The 24,667-nt window shown below is 41.3% G+C and overlaps 1 long non-coding RNA gene across 1 annotated transcript in view; it reads left to right on the top strand.

The window, feature by feature from the left end:
* Positions 1 to 23,152, top strand: part of LOC105370655 (uncharacterized) — a 102,277-nt gene extending 79,125 nt beyond the window's left edge. Inside the window, exons 2-4 of the long non-coding RNA XR_001750876.2 lie at positions 6,515 to 6,663; positions 7,989 to 17,161; positions 18,529 to 23,152. This is a non-coding gene — a long non-coding RNA (uncharacterized LOC105370655). The remainder of the gene's footprint in view (positions 1 to 6,514; positions 6,664 to 7,988; positions 17,162 to 18,528) is intronic.
* Positions 23,153 to 24,667: the final 1,515 nt, after the last annotated feature.

The following is a 24,667-nucleotide window of genomic DNA, read 5'->3' as shown; positions in this document are numbered from 1 at the left end:
ATCATGTGAGGGAAACTGCTGGGATAATGCCGATGTTCACATTTTCTCAGATTTTCTTTCCCAAATATTTTTCTATCTGCCTGCAAATACCTTTTAAAAATGTCTTTAGAACATTCTGTTGGTCATAATTTTCTCAGTTTTGAGCTATTCGAAAATATCTTTTGCTCAAAGCAGTTTACAGGTTCAATGCTATCCCTATCAAAATACCAACATCATTTTTCACATAATTAGAAAATTCCATTCTGAAATTCATATGCAAACAAAAAAGAGCCCAAATAGCTGCAGTAATTCCAAGGAAAAAGAACAAAGCCAGAGGCATCATGCTACCTGACTTCAAACCATGCTATACAGCCACAGTAACCAAAACAATGTGGCACTATGGAACAGGTTAGAGAACCCAGAAATAAAACCACACACCTACAACCATCTGATCTTCCACAAAATTGACGGTAACAAGCAAGGGGGGAAGAACTCCTATTTGATGAGTGGTACTGCTATAACTGGCTGGCCATATGCAGAAGATTGAAACTGAACCACTTCCTTAAACCATATAAAAAAATCAACTCAAGATGGATTAAAGAATTAAATGTAAAAGATAAAACTATAAAAACTCTTAATGAAAATCTAGGAAATGCCATTGTGGACATTGGCCTTGCAAAGATTTCACAACAAAGATTCCAAAAGCAATTGCAACAAAAACAAAAATTCACAAGTAGGACCTAATAAAATGAAAGAGCTTTTGCACAGAAAAATAAACTTTCAACAGAATAAAAAGACAACCTAAAGAATGGGAAGAAACATATGCAAACTATGCATCTGACAAAGTCTAGTATCCAGAATCCATCAGGAACTTAAATCAACAAGAAAAAAAAACAAACAAACGACCCCATTCAATATGGGCAAAGGACATGAACAGACACTTCTCAAAACAAGACATACACACCATATCAACAAGTATAAGAAGAAATGCTCAACATCACTAATCATTGTAGAAATGTAAATCAAAACCACAAAGAGATACCATCTCACATAAGTCAGAATGGGTATTATTAAAAAAACAAAAAAAGTAACAGATGTTGGCGATGTTGAGGAGAAAAAGGAATGCTTATACACTGCAGGCTGGAATGTAAATTAGCTCAGCCACTGTGGAAAGCAGTTTGGAGATTTCTCAAATAACTTAAAACATAACTACTATTTGACCCAGCAGTCCCATTACTGAGTATATACCCAAAGGAATATAAAGCATTCTACCATAAAGACACATTCACATGTAGGCTTATTGCAGCACTTTTCTTAATAGCAATGACATGGAATCAACCTAGATGCACATCAGTGGTGGACTGGATAAAGAAAATGTGGTACTCATATACACACCATGGAATACTGTACAACCATAACAAAGAACAAAATCAAGTGCTTTGCAGCAACATGGAGGCAGCTGGAGGCCATTATTCTAAGCAAATTTATGCAGGAACAGAAAACCAAATACCACATGTTCATACTTATAAGTAGGAGCTAAACATTGAGTGTACATGGACACAAAGAGGGAAACAATAGACACTGGAGCCTACTTGAGGGTGGAGGGTGGGAGGAGGAAGAGGATAGAAGAGGATAGAAAAACTACCTATTGGGTACTATGGTTACTACTTGGGTGACAAAATCATTTGTACACCAAAGCCGAGTGACACACTATTTACCCATGTAACAAACCTGCATGTGTACCCCCTGAACTTAAAATAAATGTTGGGAAAAAATATTTTTATATATTTCTTTTTAATGATAGTTCTACTGAGTATCCAGTTCTTGCTTGAAATTTACCATCTCTCAAAACTTAGAAAATGTTACTCCACCATCTTCTTTTTTCCATTATTTCTTTTGAGAAGTCTAGTGTTAGCTTGGTCATCTTTTCACTCTGGCTGCTTTTAAAATCTTATTTGAAGTTCTTTAGTTTTACAACAGTGCATTGAAGTGTGAAGTTACTTGTTTGCTTTCTTTAATACTGCTTGATATCCATTGCAATTTCTATATTTTTCTACGTTCTGTGTGTCTACATTTTTCTACGTTCTGTATGTCTACATTTTATCACCTTTTTATATTTTCTGTTTGCTTGCCTTTTTTTCCAATATGCTGAGCATTTCTTCTGATTTGCCTTCTTAATCACCAATTTTCAGTTCGTTTCTCAGTTAATGTTTATGCATTTACTAGGTTTTGAATTTCAATAATTTTATTTCTAGAAAGACTATGTAGCTCTCTTCTCTAATCTGCTGTGCCATGTTTGATAAATTGTTTCTAATTTTTTGATTTCGTCTTTTATTTCTTGAGATATTTCACATTACTTATTTTATATCAAATCTATAACTCCATGTGTGTGTGTGAACATACACTTATGCATAAGGACTACATGTGCCGTATGATCTGAGAAAGGAATTTCATTTGCTTTTGCTGAGGGCCAGAGAACCCTGCAGACCTGGTACTATTTTTGGCTCTTTGTAAGGTTGCTGATGTTACATGTAGGTCTGAGGTCAAGCTCCTCCATCTTACCAGGCTCTTGGGCTTGGCTTCCTTAACGTAGACTTGCTCATTGCTCAAGTTCCTTGTTCCAGTCTCAGCTCAGTCATGCTTGTTTCTTTGTTTTTATTTCTTAGAGATTCCCCTTATATTCTATCAATCCCATAAAAGCATTAAAATTATGTTTGCATTGTAATTTTCTAATCATATCAAGAGCTGTTGTATCTTAGCTGAGACATCTTTCTGGTCTCCTTGCCTGCCGTGCTACAGAAACCCACTTGCTGGAGTAATGTTTAGAGAAATATTTTCATCTCTATCATTTAGTGTCCCCTGGACTTCCATGTAATGAAAATAAAAATAGTAATAATAACAGCAACTATATACTGAGAATTGACAAAGTCTCAGAGACCATGCTAACCATTTTACAAAAAGCATCTGTAGTCCTCTCAACATGGCGAAGAAACTACATTTCTGAGAGTAAAAGTGAATAGTACTTATTTGTTACACAACTAGTTGATGATGAAAAATATTAAAAAATAGCTGTTGATGAAGCTGGGATGGAAAGAGGTTTGGCATAATATTCTATACATTTGAGAATATGCTATGAAATATCTCAATTTTTAAAATATAAAATTATATGAACTCTTCATAAAAGTACTTTAGAAATATAGCTGGAAAATAAAGTAATTTACCCCAAGAGAGTGACCTGATCACTCTTTCCCAACAATGAATATTTTATGACTGATCATGTCTTCACTTCACCTGGGACACCAGCAAGCTCTGCAACATATTGGAAGGTCAAATTAGTCAGATATGGCTGCTATTACCTTATTTATATTCCTCCTTTAGTCTTAACATTCTAGTTTTATGGATATTGCATTGTACTATTGCATTATTTTACATTGCAACCATTTTATAAATAAATTAATTTAAAAAATTGAGCCTCCTAGGTACATGACTGCCTTATGTAGAAATGGTCTACATTACTCAGATTTTGTTTTCAGAGCACATGTAAGACTCTAGCAGGTCAAATGTCCACATCACACAATATTTAATTTTCTTTTTGGAGGGAAAATCTCCTTCTAGTTCTTCTAGTATACCAGGTGATGACAACAACAACAACAACAAAATAATAGCAGGAGATGCAATTTTGATAACCTTAGAAACTTTGCAAAAAGCTTTTCTTCAGTTTGTTTTCTATGCACAACAGCTCATCCTGGATTTGTTGGGTTCTGCACATTGTAGAGAGGAGAAAACAGGTGACTTAAGGCTTTCTGGTTTGCCAATACCACAGGAATAATAAATGTCTTTATTGTAAAGAATTGGCTTGTGTGAATATGGAGGCTGAGAAGTCCCACAGTCTGCTGTCTGCAAGCTGTAGACCAAAGGAAGCTGGTGATGTAGTCCTGAGAACCAGAGAGTTGATGGTAGAAGTCCCAGTCAAGGGCAGGAGCAAGTCGATGTCCCAGCTCAAGCAGTCAGGCAAAGAGAGCTAGTTCCCCCTTCTTTTGCCTTTTTGTTCTATTTGGGCCTCCAACAGATTGAACTATGCCCACCCACACTGCAAAGGGCAATCTGCTTAACTGAGTCTATTGATTCAAATGCTAATCTCATAATAATGTTGAATCTGGGCACCCTGTGGTCCAGTCAAGTTGACATATAAAATTATCACAGCTACCAAGTGGGAGAGCCAGGAAGGACAACCTCACCAGTCTGAAATTCTTTCTCCCTTTTGCTTCCTCTATGGAGAAAACTAATACTGATCACTTCCTCTTTTCTAACTTTCCAGGGGGAAATGCCCTCTCATTTGTCTTACCTCTTGAGATTGCACTCTACATTTTTATCTCATTAAGAAAAAATCATGTATTGTTCTTCCCCTTGAAATTCATTATTTTGTAGCAGTCTTTCTATTTGGTCCTGGGGACTCTGAGTGCCAGTGTGAGGGTCTATGTAATGACCTGAGTGACCTCAGCATTCATCGGGTTCTCCCTCATTTCCAAAGGTAAACAATTCTCACAAGAACCTCTTCATTGGCCTCCCAGGGATCTGCTTATCCTCCATTAATATGACCCTCCAGCCTTTGGAAAAGCCCTCTTTTTTCCTACTAGATTCGAGCTGGGGAGACCAAGACTCAGCAACAGCAACCATGTGGAGTCAGGGAATCTAGAGACGGGGTTGTGTTTGAAAAACCTGGAAGCTGTTTATTAGGGCTGACTGGAAGCCCAAGCACAGAATTCCATTTCCTGAGCTGTAGTACAAATATTCAAAGCTACTTAATGAACAGATGAACAAAGCAAAAAACCTGGGCACCTGGGTGGAGGGAAAGGGTGAGATAGAAAGTCAGAGAAGGGCTGACTGCTGGGCAGCCAGGACACTGAATTGAGTGGGCAGGCAGCATGGTGAGCTTGGAGATCAGTGGATTAAGAGTGCATCCCTCCAGAATTGCAAAATCTCTCTTTCATACACATGCTGTGTGACCTTCACTAAGCACTTAACCTCTCTGAGCATCAGATTTCTCATCTCTAAAATGAGGAGGACGATACTTATGGAGGCATTTTAAGAAGTAAATAACATAATATGCATCGTGTTTGTCACACAGTAGGCTATCATTCTATGAACATAGATTAATTCTTTTGAAACTTCCTATATATCAGTTCCCTATTGCCACTGCAACAAATTACTGCAAGCTTAGATGCTTAAAACAAAACAATTTTTTTATTTTAAAATTGTGAAGGTCAAAAGTCCAAAATGGGTCTTAACTGAGCTGCAAGCAGAGTGCTGGTGGGGCTGCATTCCTTCTGGAAGCTCCGGGGAAGAGAAAATCTGTTTCCTTGCCCTTTCTAGCTACCAGGGCCTGCCCACATTTCTTGACACATGACCTATTTCTCCATATTGGAAGCCAGTAGTGTGACATCATCAAATCTTTTTCTATTTTCATCTTCACATCTCCTCCAACTCTGATCCTGCTACCATTCCCCTTGTAATAACATTGGGCCCATGCGGGTAATCCAGGATCATCTCCCCAACTCAAGATCCTGAACTCAATCTCATCTGCAAAGACTCTTTTCCCACATGAAGTAGCATGGGTACAATTTTCAGGTATAATAATGTGAACATCTTCGGGAGGTCGTTCTTCTGCTGATCACACATTGTAGGGACCACATGATCCCAGATACACATTAGGAGCCGAGTCTAGAGACAGGGTTCACCTGAAACCCACTACAGAGAGAGGTTTTGGGTGAGTGGTGATTCTGTCATTACATTTTGTGAGCAGTCCAGTCCATCTCTTCCATAGTTGAAAAAACTGTGACCAGGGAGGCAAAATGTGTTGTCCAAGGGTACAGAGAATGAGTTTGAGGTGATTCCTTCGTATTTAACGTAAACAGAAAACTTTCTTACTCTTCATTCACAAGCAAAGGTTACTTACGACTCCTGCATTAAATTCTCGTTATCTTTTTTTCAGGGCCTTAAGATTCAATTGCCCATTATCCTATGACTGTGCTTATTTAGGTTTAATCTTAACACTTGTCATTTTCTGAAATTACCTGCTTTTAATTTGTTTGTTTTCCAAATTGACTGCATTCTTTCAAACATTGCCTAGTTCAACAAGTAAGTATTGGATGGATGGAGGGTTGGATAGATAGACGGAGGGATAGACGGAGGGAGAGATGGGTACTGTGTGATAAACATAGTGCTAAGCATTTCATATGCTTTATATGATGTTATCCTCATGTCTCTGCAAGGTAAATACTATTGTTATCACCACATTAACGTGAGACACAGAGACATCTAGAAGATTACAGGATGTGAGCAAGCTCACAAGCAAGTGGCAGAGTTGGGACTAGAATCCAGGCAGTGCACTCCTGAGCTATGAAAAACTTCACCCTGCAAAGTGCTGGGCAAACCCCTCATTCAGAGCCAGCATTTTACAGGGCAGTGCAGTTACTTTCAGGGAGGAAGTAATCTCAAGACTCTCATGACTATGTCTGCTCTGCTTTCTTCACAGGCTTTTAATTTCAGTCTAATTCAAGTCAGCAGCATAGGGCAGCTCCTGGGAAATTGGTTTACACATGCGGACAAGCCCAGTAGCCCAGAGCTAACCCACTCACCATCCCTGACCACAGAGGAGCAGATAAGGAAGCAAGATTTGTCGGGGTAAGTGTGAGAAAGTCATAGTCCATGGGCCATACATAGCTGGAGCTGAGTCTGAAACTGACATGCAGGGAAAAGGGAAGAAAAAATACCCTGGATAAGAATTCACTGTCAACTCTAACACATATTAAAAAATATCCTAGCCAAGCGGGGTGGTGCATGCCTGTAGTAGATCCTGCTGCTTGGGAGGCTGAGGTGGGAGGATCACCTGAGCCCAGGAGTTCGAGGTTGCAGTGCACTATGATTGCACCTATGAATAGCTACTGCACTGCAGTCTGGGCAGCATAGCAAGATCCCATCTCAAAAAAACAAATCCCTGTACATGGGCTCTACATTTACACTTAAAAGTAGTTGTTATACTTACTCATCATCTCATTGAATCACCCTAAGAAAATTCATATAAATTTATGCAATAGAAGTTACTCCATTTGGCAGAAAAGAAAACAGGCTCAGGAAAACAGAGTAACATGCCTGTATCTGTACAGCTGGTAGGTGTTGTTATGATTTGAACCCAAGTACCTGCTTCCTCCATGTCCTCAAAAGAGATATGCTCGTGTCCTAATCCCTAAAACTTGTCTGCAAATATTACCGTATATGGCAAGAGCTATGATTAAGTTAAGTACTTTTAGAGAAGGAGTTTCTCCTGGATTATTTGGGTGGCCCATCAATGCAGTCCCATGTGTCCTTATCACAGAGAAGCAGAGGGAGTTTTGAGACAGGAGAGGAGGCAGAAAGTAAAATGATATGGTCATAAGCCATGGAACATCTGGAGCTACTAGAAGCTGGAAGAGGAAAGAGAGGATTCTTTTCTAGAATCTTCAGGTGGGCAACCCTGTTGACACTTTGATTTTGGATTTTAACCTCTAGAACTATGAGAGAATGAACTTCTGTAATGTTTAGTGACCCAGCAAAGCTAATTTTGCTTTGTCACAGAAGCCAAAGGAAACATTAGGTTGGTGCAAAAGTAAATGCTGTTTTTCCATTAAAAGTAACGACAAAGAGCAATCAATTTAGCATCCTCCTAATAATACATCCCACCATATCAAGTTTCCTCTGGCTTTTGTTAATCTGATAGATTAGAACAAGGCTGGGCTTTTTCAATCAAGAATGATATTTTAATAAGGTTTTAAAGATGCATATTTATCGTGCCTTAAAAACATACTTTCGAACATTTTTAACAATCCATAAATAAGTGTGTATTTACAAGATACGTGATTTTTATTCATTCATTTCAAAGTGAATTGCCAGTAACAGGTCCTTTCTGATAGTGTGTGAGCAGAATATGTTCTTCAAGACAAAAAAAAAGATTTTTTTTTTTTTTTTTTTAGATGGAGTCTCGCTCTGTCACCCAGGCTGGAGTGCAGTGGCGTGATCTCTGCTCACTACAAGCTCCGCTTCCTGGGATCACGCCATTCTCCTGCCTCAGCCTCCTGAGTAGCTGGGACTACAGGCGCCCGCCACCATGCCTGGCTAATTTTTTGTATTTTTAGTAGAGACGGAGTTTTACCATGTTAGCCAGGATGGTCTCCATCTCCTGACCTCATGATCCGCCGCCTTGGCCTCCCAAAGTGCTGGGATTACAGATGTGAGCCACTGCGCCTGGCCAAAAAATGATTTTTTAAAGGTATCTTTAAGGCTACTTAAGAAGACAGCTGCTCATCACATAGGACTGAAGCACACAAAAAAAGGCTTGAGTTCCAGTCTGGCAGCACTTGGCCTGCTCTGTCTGCCCAGAATTTAGTGATCATCAAACCTGAAATGTGAAGGATCACAGGAAGGGTGGTGGATTCTGGAAGGATATCCAGCACCTGCAGACTTAGTGGTTAGAGCTCCCTTGAAGTCCTGTGCAGGAGAAATACCTAAAACATAAAACTCAAAGCCAGCCTGCAGCATCCTTTATGCTATCAAATTGAATCAGTGGAGAGAGATGATCCAATTCACCACAGAGCTGAAGTGGAAGGAACAAAATTAATGATTCACCCTGAATAAATAAAACCTAAATGGCTTTGGGAGGCTTGGTCCAGATGGAACTTTGAAATGCTCTTCAAACATTTCCAAAGTGCTAGAAGATCCTAGGAACCTAAAGACTGTGAGGGTGGCAGTGATGTGAAGATGACAGTGGTAGTGCCGACAGAGTGATGATAATAACAATGGCAACGATGGTGGTCCTGATTGTCGGGAGGATGAGGACAGTGGTGATGATGTGCAGGTGACAAAGCTGATGATGATGGCGGTGGTAATCGTGAGTGCAGTGACTATTAATCCAGGCCCTTTCCATTCTACAATTCTATTGTTTGGGATGACAAAGTTGTATTAGGTCCTTGGTTCAATTGAAACAAGCATATTTCGAATTATGCCCAATTCTCAAACTGATTATTTTATCCAATAGACATTTTGCAAGAGAGGAAAATATTCAAAGTTCTGTCCTCAGCCCTGAAGAGCACATTTTAGTAAGAGTCTCAAGGAGTTCAGAGTTGCTAAAGACAGAATGTTTGCGTTGTCCCAAAATTCATATGTTGAAATCTTAATTTTTAGTGTGATGATTTTAGGAAGGGGGCTTTCGGTAGGTGATTAGACGGGTAATTAGATTATCATCTTCACAAAAGAGACATCAGAGAGCTCCCTTGCCCCTTGTGCCATGTGAGGACACAGAGAGAAGACAGCTGATTATAAACCAAGAAGGAAACCCTCAGCAGACACTGGATCTCATGGCACCTTGATCCTGGATTTTCTAGCCTCCAGAACTGTGAGAAATAAGCTTTGGTTGTTTGTACATCATCCAGTCGACAGTATTCTGCTTTAGCAGCCCAAGAAGACTATGGAACAGTCTAGGCAAGGAGATGCAGGAGTAGCATGAAATTTTAAGAGGTTTAGGAAACTGCCTGGTGAAGAAACACAGGTCAGTAGAGAAGTGTGAAGGCTCATTTAACTTTCTAACTGGAGAGAGTCACCGTTGCCATGAAGAGCAGGTGAGACATGGAATGGAGAAAGAGCATGCCCCAACGTGTCCCTGTGGGCAGCAGAGAAGGAATGAGATGGGTGTGTGTGGTGTGTGTGTATGTATCTATGCATATGTGGGCATTTTGTATGGCATGTGTTTGAATGAGTATACATTTATATGTGTAGGGTGTTCGTATATGTGTTGTATGTGTGAATTTGTGGTGTGTGTATGTGGTATGTGTAGTGATGCATGTGTGGCTTGTGTGTATATGTATGCTGTGTGTATGTGAGAGCGTGTGTGTGCATGCATGTGTGTGCTTTGGGGATGGTAGAGTGAGAGCTGAAAACCTTAAAGATGTGTTTTATGTGTAGTGAAATGAATAAGTCTGAGTTTTCCTGCACTTGAATAATAATTACAATTATTGTTGTATTTGTTTAAATAAACAATGAATGGAGTAGTAAATGAATTAGGGAGTAGTTAAGAGTTTGGGACTTTTTACAACATGCCAGGCCTGTGTTGAGCCTGATACATAGCTAATCTCACATCACCATCAGAACCTCCTCATGAGGCTGATACTCTAATATTCATATCCCCCTTTGACAGATGAGAAAAGGGAGGCACAGGGAGTTGAACAGCTCACTCAAGGTCCCAAAGTGGTCCATCCAGATTTAATTCCAGGCATGAAGCTGAAAGCTCCAGTGCTCTTGACCACCAGGCCCTACTGCAGAACGACCCATGGGCAAGCACCTTAAGGGGTCTGGGCTGCCTGGCTGCATTCATGAGCATTTGAAGAGTCTCGGCTGTGTGGGGGCATGGGCGTGAATGACCACAGAGCCTTGGCCCAAACTGATGCTTGGATGAACAAACACATCAGCATTAAATTGTGCCTGCCTCTGTCACAGAAGAAAAAGTCACTTTGGTCTTTTTCTTCTTTTTGTTAGTTTTTTTCTCAGGCACGTGTATTAATATTTTGCTGTCCTCTGACATTTAGAAATATTCGTTTTGTAAATATGGTCTGGGCTCAGGGGTACATGGTGATACTCAGGGGCCTGGGAGTGGGGCGGCTCTGGAGGGGACAGATGGAAGCAGAAAGCTGGGGCTAGTCTTCTTACCTGTGCAACCTCATGCTCCTCTTTGCATCTCTGAGCCGTGCTTCCTGCTTTGTAAAGTGCTTAATTCACAAAGATTAGGACCATATATAATAGCAAAGTACCTGGTTATTTCCACATCATAATAAGTGTTTGCTAATTAGTGGTTATTATTACTAAAAAATGTCTACTTAATGATTTTTTTTTATTGCTTTGTTTGCTCTTTATCTCAAATGGACTTTCCCTCCTCTTGGAGCATCCAAACATTCTTTGGGCCTTTTGACATAAATGCTCTTGCAGCTGGCCCTTCCCTATCCCGATAAACAGCCACTGCTGTGGAGCTGCTGCCGATTCTGCAAACACGGCTTCTGCATTCTGGCTGAGCTGAGGTCCTGGCTTGGTCACTTTCCTCATTCCCAAGTCCTTCTAAGGTCATTCCCAGCTTTGACTTCAGCCCTGCAGGTAGGAACCGCCCTGATCCCTCATTAAATGAGCACCTGTTAGAGGTCACAGCCCATGGCAGACAGGTGTCATTTATTTGTTTGAAAGATGAGGAAATGGAAGCTCCGGAACAGTGAAGTGGTATTCACAAAGCCACACAGCCAGAGGCAGAACTGGAACTTCTGCTTCAAGAGAAAGAGGATAAATCCTCAACAGCTTCTGCCCAGTGAGCTCATTTGAGGACATCAGGGATCAGGGACTTAGGCAGATGGGTTTGCAAACGCACATGCCTTCTGGGGCACATGTTTCCTGGACTCTGCCCATCTGGGTCTTACTGCTAAAGAAGCCGATCCCTGACCTGCCCTTCAGCCTTTCCTGCCCTACCTGCCATTGCATGATGTGCTGTTTTCCTGTATGTCTGGCTGGTGCCCTCTCCCCTCTCTGGTCTTTGCTTTTAAATGTTGCCACTCTGAGGAGTCTCCCTGACCACCCTGTTTGACATGCACCCCTCAATCTCCCACCCTGGCATTTCCTATCTGCCTACCTTGCTTTATTTTCCTTCACAGGACTATTCCCATTAAAATGCTATACATTGCACTTTTCATATTTTGTTTATATTAGCTTATTTGATTTATTACTAGCAATGTATAAGAGGGCTTTCACTCCCACATCCTCATCACCTACAGCTGCAGTTCTAAAACAATATTCCTTGAATGAAAATCCTGCAGGCAAGTATTCTTGCCAAAGTAGGCCGGGCAAGTCCGATGATTTCGGGAAGTAACAACCTGATTAACCCTGATCGATAGGATACTGACCTGACTGAATTATTGTTATAGCAGTTACCCTTGATTGCATGTCAATTACCTACAACCACATATACTAGAATATCTTTTTTTGTTGTTGTAGTATCAGAAGCACTATAAAGTATTGTCCCCTTCAGAGGGGACGAATATCTTGCTCAGCATCATGATGTGAAAAAATAGCAAAGTATGGATTATCTCCTGGGCCAAACTGGCTCCAAAGTCGGTCTTTAGCCCACTGCAAGGGAAAGTTTCAGATTTATTGAAAGTCAGAATCTGATGTGGCTCTTTAATAGATAGAGATTCTCAGGGCCGAACAGTAAGGTTTCTGATTCCAGGGGTTCAGGGAATCGCATTTATCAATGCTCTCCTATGTGGTTCTGATGTGTTTGGCCCATGGACCTGGGTTTGAGAAACCCCACGCTTTCATCTGCTGCTCTCCATTGAAATAGCTAGAGTGGGTTTGATTGGAGTTTCCTTAGTAGCCGTATGTAGCTGATATTCTATGCGTGCGTGAGAAAGGAGGGTGAGGAAGGGGGCAAAGTAAACAGGAGAAGGAATAATTGATTGGGGGATTTTATTATTTTATCCCCCCACCCCCAGATATTTATAGGTCAAATAATGCTGCAAAGAGACCCGTTGACTCTAAACTCATAAAATGCCTACTTGGGAGTCAGACTGTAATTTACTTTTCTAAAGATGCCTCAATTATATCCAAGGAAAAGCCTGGTTACATTTTTAAAACTCAGGAGCAGCAGCTTTTAAATTTATTCAGACTAATGAGCGTGTATAAATTTGGCGAATGCTAATTCACAAGAGTCTGTTGCGGCGGTGGGAGAAACACAACAAGAGTGTCACAGCCAAGGAACAAAGTGAATGGGTGATGGGAGTGACAGTAAAGATTTCTTTTAACATCACTAAAAGGCAGCTGAAGTGACAGGTAAGAGGAAAGGTGCAGAAGTCTGCAGCACTTGGAGAATTTGTGTACTATCAGGAAGGGACGCGTTGACTTGATACCAACTTAATAAGTTCAGCAGAGAATAAGAGCCAGGGATGGAGGCTGCGACCTATGGCAGAAGTGTGTCCACCCTGCTTCCTTGGGAGCCAGGAGATGTTGATCACAGTGCCTGGAGAATGTGGCTTCTCTTCTAACTGGAAGCCCCTCCTTTTGCAAATTTCAAGGCATCAGGCACATGGTTTTAATCTGTCTCCACAGATCTCAGAAATGAATTTAGCCTCCTCTGGAGACAGCTTCCACTTAGGATCACCTCGAAGGGAAAGAAATCCTAAATCAAAACCCATCAGTGTACACCTGGATTTCAAGAGAGATGCTCCCCAGTCACATCTGCAGGCTTCTGAGGTTGGAAGACTCCAGCCCAAGAGAAAGCAGTGGGAAGCAAAATTTTGAAACCTTGATAAAGGTGGCTTTGGCTTTGAGGCCTGCAATTATGTTTTAGGGGAAGGAGGGATGTCTGAATGGAATGCAGACCCCAAAATGGCTAAAGTGTCATGGTTTCAATTTCTTTCTGCCGAAGGCAAGCACCTTCTCATGCTGATCTGTTGAGTTAGGCTTATTCATGATCCTGGGAAACCCAGAGTCCACCTTGAGTGCACCCCTGATCCTGGGAGACCCAGAGCCCAACTTGAGTGCACCCCTGCTTACCATTCCAGCCTTTCCTCTCCTCACTTCTGCCAGAATTATGAAGCTACTTGCCATTGTTATAGATTAACTTGTGTCTCCCAAATTCATATGTCAAAGCCCTAGCTTCCTATATGACTATATTTGGAAATGGGTCCATAAAGGAAATAATGAAGGTTAAATGAGTTCATAAGGGTGGGACTCTAGTCCAATAGGACTGGTGTTCTTATAAGAAAAGGAAGAGACACCAGACCCCTCTCTCTCTTCATGTATACGGAGGAAAGGCCATGCAAAGACACACTGAGAAAGCACAGCTCTCTGCAAGCCAGGAAACAGCCCTTGCCAGAAGCAAACCCTGTTAGCACTCTGCTCTTGAACTAGCCTTCAGAACTATGAGAAAATAAATATCTGTTGTTCAAGCCACCCAGTTGGTGGTATTATGTTATGGCAGCCTGAGCTAAGTTTATATTCTCAGAGTAATCCCTATGCTTCAGGCCATATGCCAGTTGCTTCTTTTGTTTGGAATGCCTTTTCTGAGGATCATTTGATCGATCACCCCCTTGAGGATCAAATGATCCTCAGGTCAAGTTCCTGAAAGGCACCCTGGATTTTTCTAGATTGAAAGGGTATCCTTGCTTAGTGCTTACTTAGCACCTCATGCCCCTTCTCTTGTAATGTTGAACCCATTGTTTTGAAAATGTGGCGTTGCCTGATTTGACCCTTAACTAAGCTTTAAATACCTTGAGGCCCTAAACTCAGACTTACATCTTGGTGTTTGTAGAACCCACCAACCCACCTTAGTATACGTCAGGGACTCAGATGTCATCACTGCTCATAGAGTAGATTGACTGATGGATGGGTGAAATGAATTGGTAAGTAAACAAAGACTAGATGGATGGATAGACAAGTGGCTGGCTGGATGGGTAGACGGGTGGATGAATGGATAGTTGGATGAATCGGTGGATGAGTGGATGGATAGATGAATAAATGGATGGGTAGGTGGATGGGTGCATGAATGGATAGATGGATGGAAGGATGGATGGATAGATGGATGGAAGGATGGATGGATAGATTAATGGATGGATGATTAGATGCGTAGTCGTCTAAAAGCCTGTTGCCTTTCCTAGTTCAGAGCTCCCAGAAGTACACAGGATAGGAAGGGGTGGAGGTTGAGGCACCAGAGTATTCTTCCCTAATGTACCATGTTCTCTTCATCAAACCTTTATAACTAAAATGTCTTTACTTGTTCCCTTTAGTGCCCGTGCCCACTGGCTGCTGAATCTTTACAGCATTGAATAGATATTCTTAGATCTTTGTCTAGAAGCACTCTGGTCACTTTATTTATTTTGGATGTTGTCACATCCCATTGTTGGGCTAATTTCTATTCAAAGTAGAGTCTGCAGAATAATATGAAATAGCAGTAACTATGAATCAAGAACTTCAACAAATGACCGTCTCATTTAATTCTTACAAAAAAATACCTCAAAACTGGTATTATTAACCTCATGTTATAGCTGAAAGCCATGAGGCACAGCCAATTGAGGGCAAAGACAGGATTCAAATTGTGTGTCTGCAGCCCTAGTCCAAAATCGCAAGATGAATGAGCAGCTCTGCTGCCCTGTGCCTTCTTGAAAGATGGACATCAGTGCTATCTGGAATTGCACCTGCATTTTCTGCAAGAAGAATTAGGCTGGGAGACATATTTCTCTTTGAAATAGTTTCACTAGGGACATTTCCTACTGTGCTGAAAGCTGACCTCTTGGACAAACACACTGTCATAAAATCATGCTATTTGCTACAAGTGCATTGGGAGTTTTAAATCATCAAACTAAAGTACCCCAGGCTCTGACAGTAAAATTTTCATTCAAAGAAGGACTCAGCTTCACAACATAATAAATTATATATGACTGGGACATATAAAACATTTAAAGGTATACAGAATTTCTCTGCATTTGTGTTCAGTGAGTGAGTTCAGCTCTTGAAGTACTTTTTTATGTCAATCCTGCCTATTCATAAGAAGAAAATAGGCCCCTTTTTCTTTCTCTGCAAATGAGAACCACAAAACAAGTTGCCTTCATCCCATGTTCTAAAGTTCAGATTTTATATTTGGTTTTTTCTCTTTTTTCTCCAAGAATGTGCTGGGTGAGGCAATGACACAGTGATAGCAGGACTGCAAGTGCAGCCTGTGTTGACCTCTGAAACCTGAGTAATTAAACATCAGAGACACCCACCAGAGAGACTGGAGGGGGCCAACCAAGACATGTTAGGATTTGGATTGGGGGCTATAGGTAAAGAGCGAAGCTCATACAAATAAAAGCTGTAATTACCAGGAACCACTTTTTAAAGGGTGCTGAGTTTAGAGAGACATGTATTAAAATGATTGAAACATTGCATTCCAAGATACAAGGTGACATGCACTATCCTGGCACATGGTAGGCAATAAATGACAAGATATCTTGTCTTTCTGGACAGAAAGATGGTCCTAGCATAATGCTAATACACTAGTGTGTATTTGTCAGCAATTGCTGTGTTAATGCTATATAACAAACTACCCTCCAAATCAGTGGCTTGCAACAACAAACATGTTCATGTTTATGAGTCATCTGCTATTTGACTGAGCTAGGCTGGGGTCTTTCCTGAGTGGCTCTAAAGCAGGATCATGAGCAGCTGGACTTGCCTGTAGACTGAGGATTGTGTTCAATACCATGCTGTGTGTTTCTTCCTTCTCTTTGGACTGGAGCCATTAGAGGCATGCTCTGCTCTTGGTGAATGGCAGGAATCCAAGAGTCAACAAAAACAGGCAATGCCTTAGGGGGCCTTGGTTCAAAACTGGCTCACTGTCCTTCTAACTAATTCCACTGGCCCAAGCAAGTCATATGCCCAACACTGATATTAGTGGGGCAGAGGAATATCACATCTGTGAGTGGTCTTAAAAGTCACGTGGCCAAAGGCATGAATATATAATTCAAATACATCTAGAGTATGAAGAATTGCAAACACTTTTATCTACCTCTCCTGGGCTTTCCTGATCCTAATCTGCTGCAAAACTTTGAGTAAAACCATCTCTGTCTCCAATTCCAGCAGCAATCAAAGTGTGGCCCTGATCAACAGCACCAGCCTCACCTTGGAATTTATTAAATATGCAAATGTCTCATGGCTCCTCCTAGACCTTGTGAATCAGAAACCTAAGTTCAGGTAGTTAAAGTTACTTTTGCAAGTTCACATGGCACTAAGTGAGGGTCTGACCCCAAAGCGCCTGTTCTTTTCATACATCTCACTGTCTACCAGGAAGAAGGGGGAAGGGAAACAAGCAGAGTTGGCAAGTTAGTCAATATTTTCTTAAATGAAAATGAGAGTTAAAAGCACTTCCCAAGTATGCAGACAGCTCCATTCATGTGCCTTTCACCTCTTGCCAAGCCCACATTCCAGTGGTGGTATTTGGTTAATCATCCTTTGTGCAGAAACTTGATCCCAACCCTCAGGTCCTTCACTGTGATTTAGTCTATTTTTGTTTTCTGAAATCATGTCTGTTTCCTCGGTGACTTCCAGGCCCTCCCAGCCCTGGAAGAGGAATAGTGAGGCCTCTTGACAGGTAAAAGCCCCTTGTCCTCACAGGCAGCCTGAGCCTGAGGGGCCTCCCCTCTGGCAGCCACTATGCTGCAGGGTGACATCCCCTGAAGACGTGAGTGAGGGTCAGCAATGTGCTGGGCACAGGCAGCACTGGGAGCTGGATGGAGCATCTGCATTTAGTGACACAGGGCCCTATGGCTGGGGAGGGACAGGCTCAGGCCACCACTGGCCAGAAGGGCTGAGAACTGAGAGCCAAGGGTCTGGTTCAGACACAACGGTCTGGTCCTGACTCTTCGGAGCTGTGTGAGGGAGACAGACTTCCTGGGCTTTAGGAAGGTTATCTACCAGTGTGGATGAAGATCATTCTTATTATATTATATATGTTACTATATAGTAAGATAGAAAATAGCACATATTAATACAATATAACACTATATCATATTATAACACGTGTACATATATGCTAAAATATTAATATGTTAGATTTTTATATAACTATATATAATATAATAAACTGTCAATTATATATATATTAAATTTGTATTATATCAATACATTATTTTATGTCATTTATTATGCTATATTATGCATACTAATATACCTACATTATATTATTATAAATTGTAATTATAAATTATTACAAATGTGGAAACATGATGTATATAATATAATCTATTATAATAGACTGTATAATCATATTTGTGATATAGATGCTATAATAGTATTGTGTTATATTGTTATTACTACTCTTATTGCAATGGTCATCATGTGCTGGGTTTGCCCTAGAGCTGAGACTCCCACCCTGGTTTCCCGAAGTCTAGAACATGTGTGCTTCAACCCCAAGCAAGATGTGCCTCTGTAAAATCAGGGACTTCAGTGAAAGTATACTTCTAAATCCCCTACTACTGTAGGAAGCTGACTGAAAGGTAAAAGACACTGCAGACTCTGGTGTCAGACAAAGCCAGATTGGAGGCTCAACTCTGTCACTTAGTTCTGGGCCAGGCCCCTCCTGAAGTCTTAGTTTCCTCATCTGTAAATGGCGGTCATTTTAACACCTAAATTACGAAAGCTAAGTAATTGCAGAGATAGCTCATGTTTCAAGGCTCAGCAAATACCTGGAACATAACAGGTATCTACATAAATATGAATGTGTCTTGGGGGCACATGGACAGGTCTGGGTTGAACAGTGTCAAGTGTGCAAGCTAGGCCCCAGTTCACCAGCTGGGGACTTACAGACAAGCCTCATAAACTGTTTGAGACCTTCTGACATCAACCCCTACCTCTTGCTGTCATCGGTAGGGTGGAAGTGATACAGTGCACAAAGCTCTTGACTCTCAATAGGTCTCTAGTAATTGTCATTCTTTACCAGAGCCCCTGCTTTCCTTCCAGAGCTATGACAAGTTCCACTGTGGATGGCAAGGAAATGAGGGGGGCAGCAACCTGTTAATGAGACTCAAGAGTGTCAAGACCCATTTTTGTTATCTGGATTTTCAAGGCCGAGTTCAAACATGAGGATCCTGGAAAGGTTGGCAGACGTCTGCGGAAGCTACCTTCTCTGTTGTAAAAGTCCACAAATGAGAAGTGGCTGCAGTGTATAAACCTGTGGACAGCTCTTCTTGTACTGTCACCCACTCTCATAGCTCACCATCCTCAGGCACCCTCTTATCTCTGCTCACAGAGTACCCACCTGAAATGCCTAACCTGCTAACTCCACCCAGTGAAATTCTGTGAATCCCACAAGGTGTGTCTTATATGCCTCCTTTCCTCTGCTCATTCCTTCCACAGACATTATTGTACATGCCTTGGGTGCTCAACGGCAGTCTCTGGATTCCCCAAACAGTACAGTAGTTTCTTTTAGCCCTTCCCATTGCACTTGTCAAGGGCATTTGCTTTTGGCATTCAAATTTGTGTCTAGTACATAATGGAGACCTGGCTACAGAAGTATTGCAGTACTGAAAACAATCTCTGCTATCCACGGGCTTGAAATTTACCCTCTGCAAGTGTAACTGGAGGAAAACACAGTAGTCACCAACTACGGGCAGTTACTGAAATTCAAATTAGTTGAAATAAAATAAAACCAAAAATACAAATCCTTATTCTCACAGACCACATTTCAGGTGCTCAGTAGCTACATGTGGCTGTGACTGTTATATCACCCGGTGCAGAGAGAAAGCATTTCTACCCTTACAGAGCATTCCATTAGACAGTGTTGCTCGGGATTCTATATCCCCCTGAACCTCTGCTATTCCCTGTCACTGGGTCCGTTTCCTTTAAAACCCTAACCAATTATTTGCACACTTATTTGTTTTATGGTGATTCCCCGCAAGTAGACTGTAAGCTCTGGGAGAGTAAGGACTATCTTTATCTCTTTTACCACTTCCACCCTTACACTTAGAAGAGACCTGGCAGGTGACAAAAATATATTGCTAAAGTGAACAAGTGGGATGGTGAGTTTCTATCCACTAGAGAGTCATAGCTGTCTAAAGGGACACCATGCACCATTTTTCCAGCCTTACCTGGTCCTCCAGATGCCCCGCAGATACCTTGTGGTGTGGCCTTCGCTCTTGCAGGGTCTCAGCCCCCTGGGACATCCTCCTACATCCACATCTTCATGGCTGAATCCCACCCAGACCTCAAAAATGAAACGAAAGGCCACCTTCAGGAAGCCTTCCTCAATCCAGTGCTTCCCTTTTGTCTCCTCATCTTCTTCCCCATTAAAGGGCTTAAGAATGATGTCCTCCAAATTTGACCACCTTGGCTTTTAAACTGCAACTCTCTGGAAGCTTCACACCTGTTGCCTTATTGGTGGCTGCTTTATACACATTTGTTCATGTTTCTTATCCACTACTTGAGAGCAGGGTCTATGTCTAGCTTACAATCATCTTCCCAGGCTCTGAGAAAAGCATTTAAAATACAGCAGAGGCTTAAAACATAATATTTGAATGAATATATGAGTAAATAAATGATCATGTTTTAAAGCTATGATTTTACTATTTTTAAATGATCACTACCACTAAAGAACATCATTTCTTTATTTTTTAATCCATGGCTTTTTATTTTTATTTTTTAAAGATTCATACCAAACAATACAGCATAAAGCTCTATAACTTATAAAATTTGTAAAACCAAATTCTAAAATTGAGAATTTATTATACACAAAAGTTAAAGAACCTAGGGCTGGAAGAAGCAAATTTCTATACTGAAATGTCTTTAGGAATGGGCACGTATTCATTTTTATTTTGCAACAAAGGAATTTCATTAAAATAAGAAAAAATGTGAACCATTAGTGTTAACTTACTTGGTTTTTAGATGAATATTAATCTTATATCTAGAAGTATATGTCTTGCATCAGCATTTCAATAAAGAAGCAATAAATGCAGAACCAGCCCTGTATCCCTTTTTCATCATATGTTCAGAAGTACCATGAGGACACTTCTGTGTGTTTAAGGCTTGCAAAGTCTTTGCCCATCCACTGTCACCTTCCACTTTTGTATCAACCTTACCATTTGGAATTCCGTTGAATGCTGGCTCTCCAAATATCACCAGCACAACCTGTGGATAGTAAAAGCTGTTTACTGCTTACTAAAGTAATGGTTAACCTCAAAAGAGCTGAGGCTGTGTCTGTGAGGTGGGGCGGGGGAAGGCTGGAAATTATTCCAGATTGGAAATTCAGTTTAAAGCAGGTCTTCCAATGGACAGCTTGACTGGGATTAGGTAAGAATCGTAATACAACAGTCCAGACTGAATAGGATTAGCAAAGTGAACAAGGGATTGAAAGAATGTTTAGGTGCAAAGTGTCAATTATTTTTTACATTGAAGAAGAGTTTAAGGTTGTTTTGGGAAGTCCTTGTAATGAACAGTGAAGTCATCAAGCCATTTGCCTGGGGCCAGAATCTTTGGCCTAGTAAAGTCATGCTAACCAACGCAGTGGAAGAGTAAAGTTGTATTAATGTGGGGAGTAGATTGAGTGAGGACAGAGAGTTTCAGTCCTTGGTGATTTGATCCAGCTGTGTGTGCAGGTGGATGCTTTTGGTTCTCAAGCCACACTGGACAGAAGAGAAGCAGATAGCTTTTACCTTCCCCCAAATTACACGGCTTTGTGTTACAGATACAATTTCCTTCTTCTATAAAAATATAAATATAAAATATATATACATATACATATATGTTTCAATATGTAGAAACACACGCACAGACACACACACACACATATATATATTTAAAACATATATTTAAAATGATTGCCTGCCTTCTTCTTGAACTCTGGAGTGTGAATTAAAGATCCCTCCCTGTCTGTAGGGAACCCACCCCAGGAGGGTACAAGATGGTGTAGAAAGAAAGTTGTTCTTCCCTGTCTGTAACAGCATTTGCAAAATAAGTCCTTAATTTGAGTGCTTTTTGAAACACTACAGTTGATTTCTGATCTATTAAAATGTTATATAAGTAAAGATATAAGTACACATTGATCAGCATTTTATTCAATTGTCTTTCTCGTTTGAGCCACCTTCCAGGCAGGTGGCTATTCACAGCATTGAGAATTGTAAATGCTGGTTTGCAGCTAGTACTTAGTGACTTAATTTCATTCTGTAAAATATTGGAGGCGTGTGGAAAGGTGCTATTCTCTTTCAAGGAAGTAATCTACAAAATGAATGCTAGATTGGGTATTAGGGCTAATGGAACACGTTAATAATATAGCAGGTTAACACTGACGCTTACTTACAATAAAGCTGCCAGAGCTGGGACACTGACGCCCTGAAGGAAACATTCTTCACTGTGTTCACGCTTAGAAACTCCCTTCTTACTTCATGGACACAACTGAAATGTTACGTTTCGTATCTACTGCAGCCACAACACAGCATCCAACACACAGCTCTCCTTTCTCCAGCTCTGCAGGCTGATCTTGTTTTACACTATACATTCTCCTTGTTCCAAATTTTATCCAATTCTCTCCCTTTTTCTAGGCAAAGAATAAGACACTTGGACAAGGCCGTTAATGGCAATTTCCTAAGGCTTTTGAAGCCCCTGTAGACAAGGATGAGAACCAGCATTCTAAAATAGGAAGGTCAGCAAAGCAAAGGATGGCAATGAGGCCACCCATGGGAAACTACAGGAGCAGAGGCTGCCCCAAGAGGGAGCCCGAGGTGGGGCAGAGGTTCCCATCCAGCCTCACAAACTCAGGGCACCATAATGAAGACAAGGTCCCTGCCTAGACAACCCTTTTCCCCACCACTGTGTCCTTAGACTCTAGAGTGTGAATTTAAGATCCCTCCCTATCTGCAGGGAGCCCACCCTGCCCCGTTCTGCAAAGTGAGTCTAACAATCCCTACCTAGCAGGGGTGTTGTATTAGTCAGTCTTCATGCTGCTGATGAAGACATACCTGAGACTGGGTAATGTATAAAGAAAAAGAGGTTTAATGGACTCACAGTTCCACCATATGGTTGGGGAGGCCTCACAATCATGGCGTCAGGCAAAACACGTGTCTTACATGGCAGCAGACGAGAGAATGAGAGCCAAGTGAAAGCAGAAACCCTTAATAAAGCCATCAGATCTCGTGAGAGTTATTCATTACCAGGAGAACAGTATGGGAGAAACTGCCCTCATGATTCAATTACCTTCCACTGGGCCCCTCCCACAACACATGGGAATTATGGGAGCTACAATTCAAGTTGAGATTTGGGTGGGGATACAGAGCCAAACCTCATCAGGTGTGGTATCAAATGTGGTCACATGTGTTAAAAGACTTTGTAAACTGTAAAATTTAGAAGAGGGTATAATCAACATCATACCAACAGTGAATATATATGAATGATGGAATTAAGTCTTAGTTTGATTTTATTCTTTATAGATCTGTGGTGTTTGCAATAATAAACACGCTTTTCTTGTTCCTGGGAAGAAAAGCTGTAAAATAAGAGATATGTATGTGTGTATGCCTGTAAAGAAAAAAATGAATGAAGGCAGAGTCATTCCAACTACTTTATTTTACCTAAATTAAATAATTTACATCTATCACTAGCCAGCATCGTATTCATTATTTGTTTTTTTTGTTGTTGTTGTTGTTGTTGTTTGAAATGGAGTATCACTCTGTCGCCCAGGCTGGAGCGCAGTGGTGGGATCTCGGCTCACTGCAACCTCCACCCACCAGGCTCAAGCTATTCTCCTGCCTCAGCTTCCCAAGTAGCTGGGATTACAGGTACCCACCACCATATCCAGCTAATTTTTGTATTTTTAGTAGAGATGGGGTTTCACCACGTTAGCCAGGCTGGTCTCTAGCTCCTGACCTCAGGTGATCCACCCACCTGGGCCTCCCAAAGTGCTGGGATTACAGGCGTGAGCCACCGCGCCTGGAGTATTCTCTTTTTGAATCTATTTATTTAATAGCTCCATCCTTTTCCTAACTGAATGGATGCTCAGAAGGGCAGCCGTTGCTCTAATGGTTTAATTACACGGCCTCCTCAGTCAGAGAAATCCCAGTGTTTGTGATGTAGGAGTAAGAGAATGAAAGGAGAACCAGGCCCTCTCCACAGTTCCCTCCCACCTTTGAGCCCATCCTGCAGCAAGGACCAACTGCAAGTCTACAGAGTTCGTGGAGCGTAGAGACAGCTGCTCCTGTCCCACTGGTGACACCATCTTCCCTGCAGAATACAGACAGGAAGAGGCCCGCATAGGCATAGGCAGTAGAAGTGGGCTTGCAGCTTTAAGCAAGGAATTCTGGGGTCTTGGGTAGGGGAAATGTGATGGGGAAGGAGGAGTGGGCTCTGGATGAGCAGGTCCCTTCAGTCCCAGGAAGTCCTCAGCTAGATGGGAGGGTTGAGGTTGAAGGAGAGCCCAGGAGGACCCTTGAGAATGGAGGGCCTAATTCTGAGACCCACAGTACCTCAATTTAAAGGTGACACCGTCCTAGTGTTGACTATGGTCCTGCCTGAGGGGTGTCCAATAAACTTTGGCTAAATAAAGGAATAAATGAAGTGGGTTACCACATGACATTCATGATCGTAAGAATGACTTAAAAACTGAAGGTGAAAACTTCTAGAAACTTCTCTCTGCTTATGCTAGAGAACGGAAAACTGACACTGGGAGGGGCTCTGAGTTTTCATAGTGGGTCACACATTTGAAGTGGCACTGTTTCAGGGTAGATGTCTTTTCTTTTTGTATTAATTATATATTCAGTTTTACCTGTTTTAACTCACTTGCCCTCCTTCAAACTAATGCTAATCATGGTATATGGCTGCATTCTACAATTATTCTATGTTTCTTATTGGAAGTTTAATTGCATGGAGGTTGGGATGGGGTGACAGCAGAAATCTTGATGTTGGAAAATTTGGTAGAATTAAGAAGGAAAACGAAGGATGTCTTGGAATGCTCTTTTCTCTGGCTTCGTAAGTTACAATGGGCAAGGAGAACTTGGAAGGAAACACTTTATCACACTCACGGTCATAGGACAGACATTTATCACACGATTCGCTTTAGCCTTGTAGAATGAAAGCAGAAGCCATAAACTGTGAACGGAGGAGAGTGCAAACTGTTGCA

The sequence above is a fragment of the Homo sapiens genome, chromosome 14 (assembly GCF_000001405.40).
Source record: "Homo sapiens chromosome 14, GRCh38.p14 Primary Assembly".
NCBI lineage: Eukaryota > Metazoa > Chordata > Mammalia > Primates > Hominidae > Homo > Homo sapiens.
This window is presented reverse-complemented; position numbering and strand designations above follow the sequence as displayed.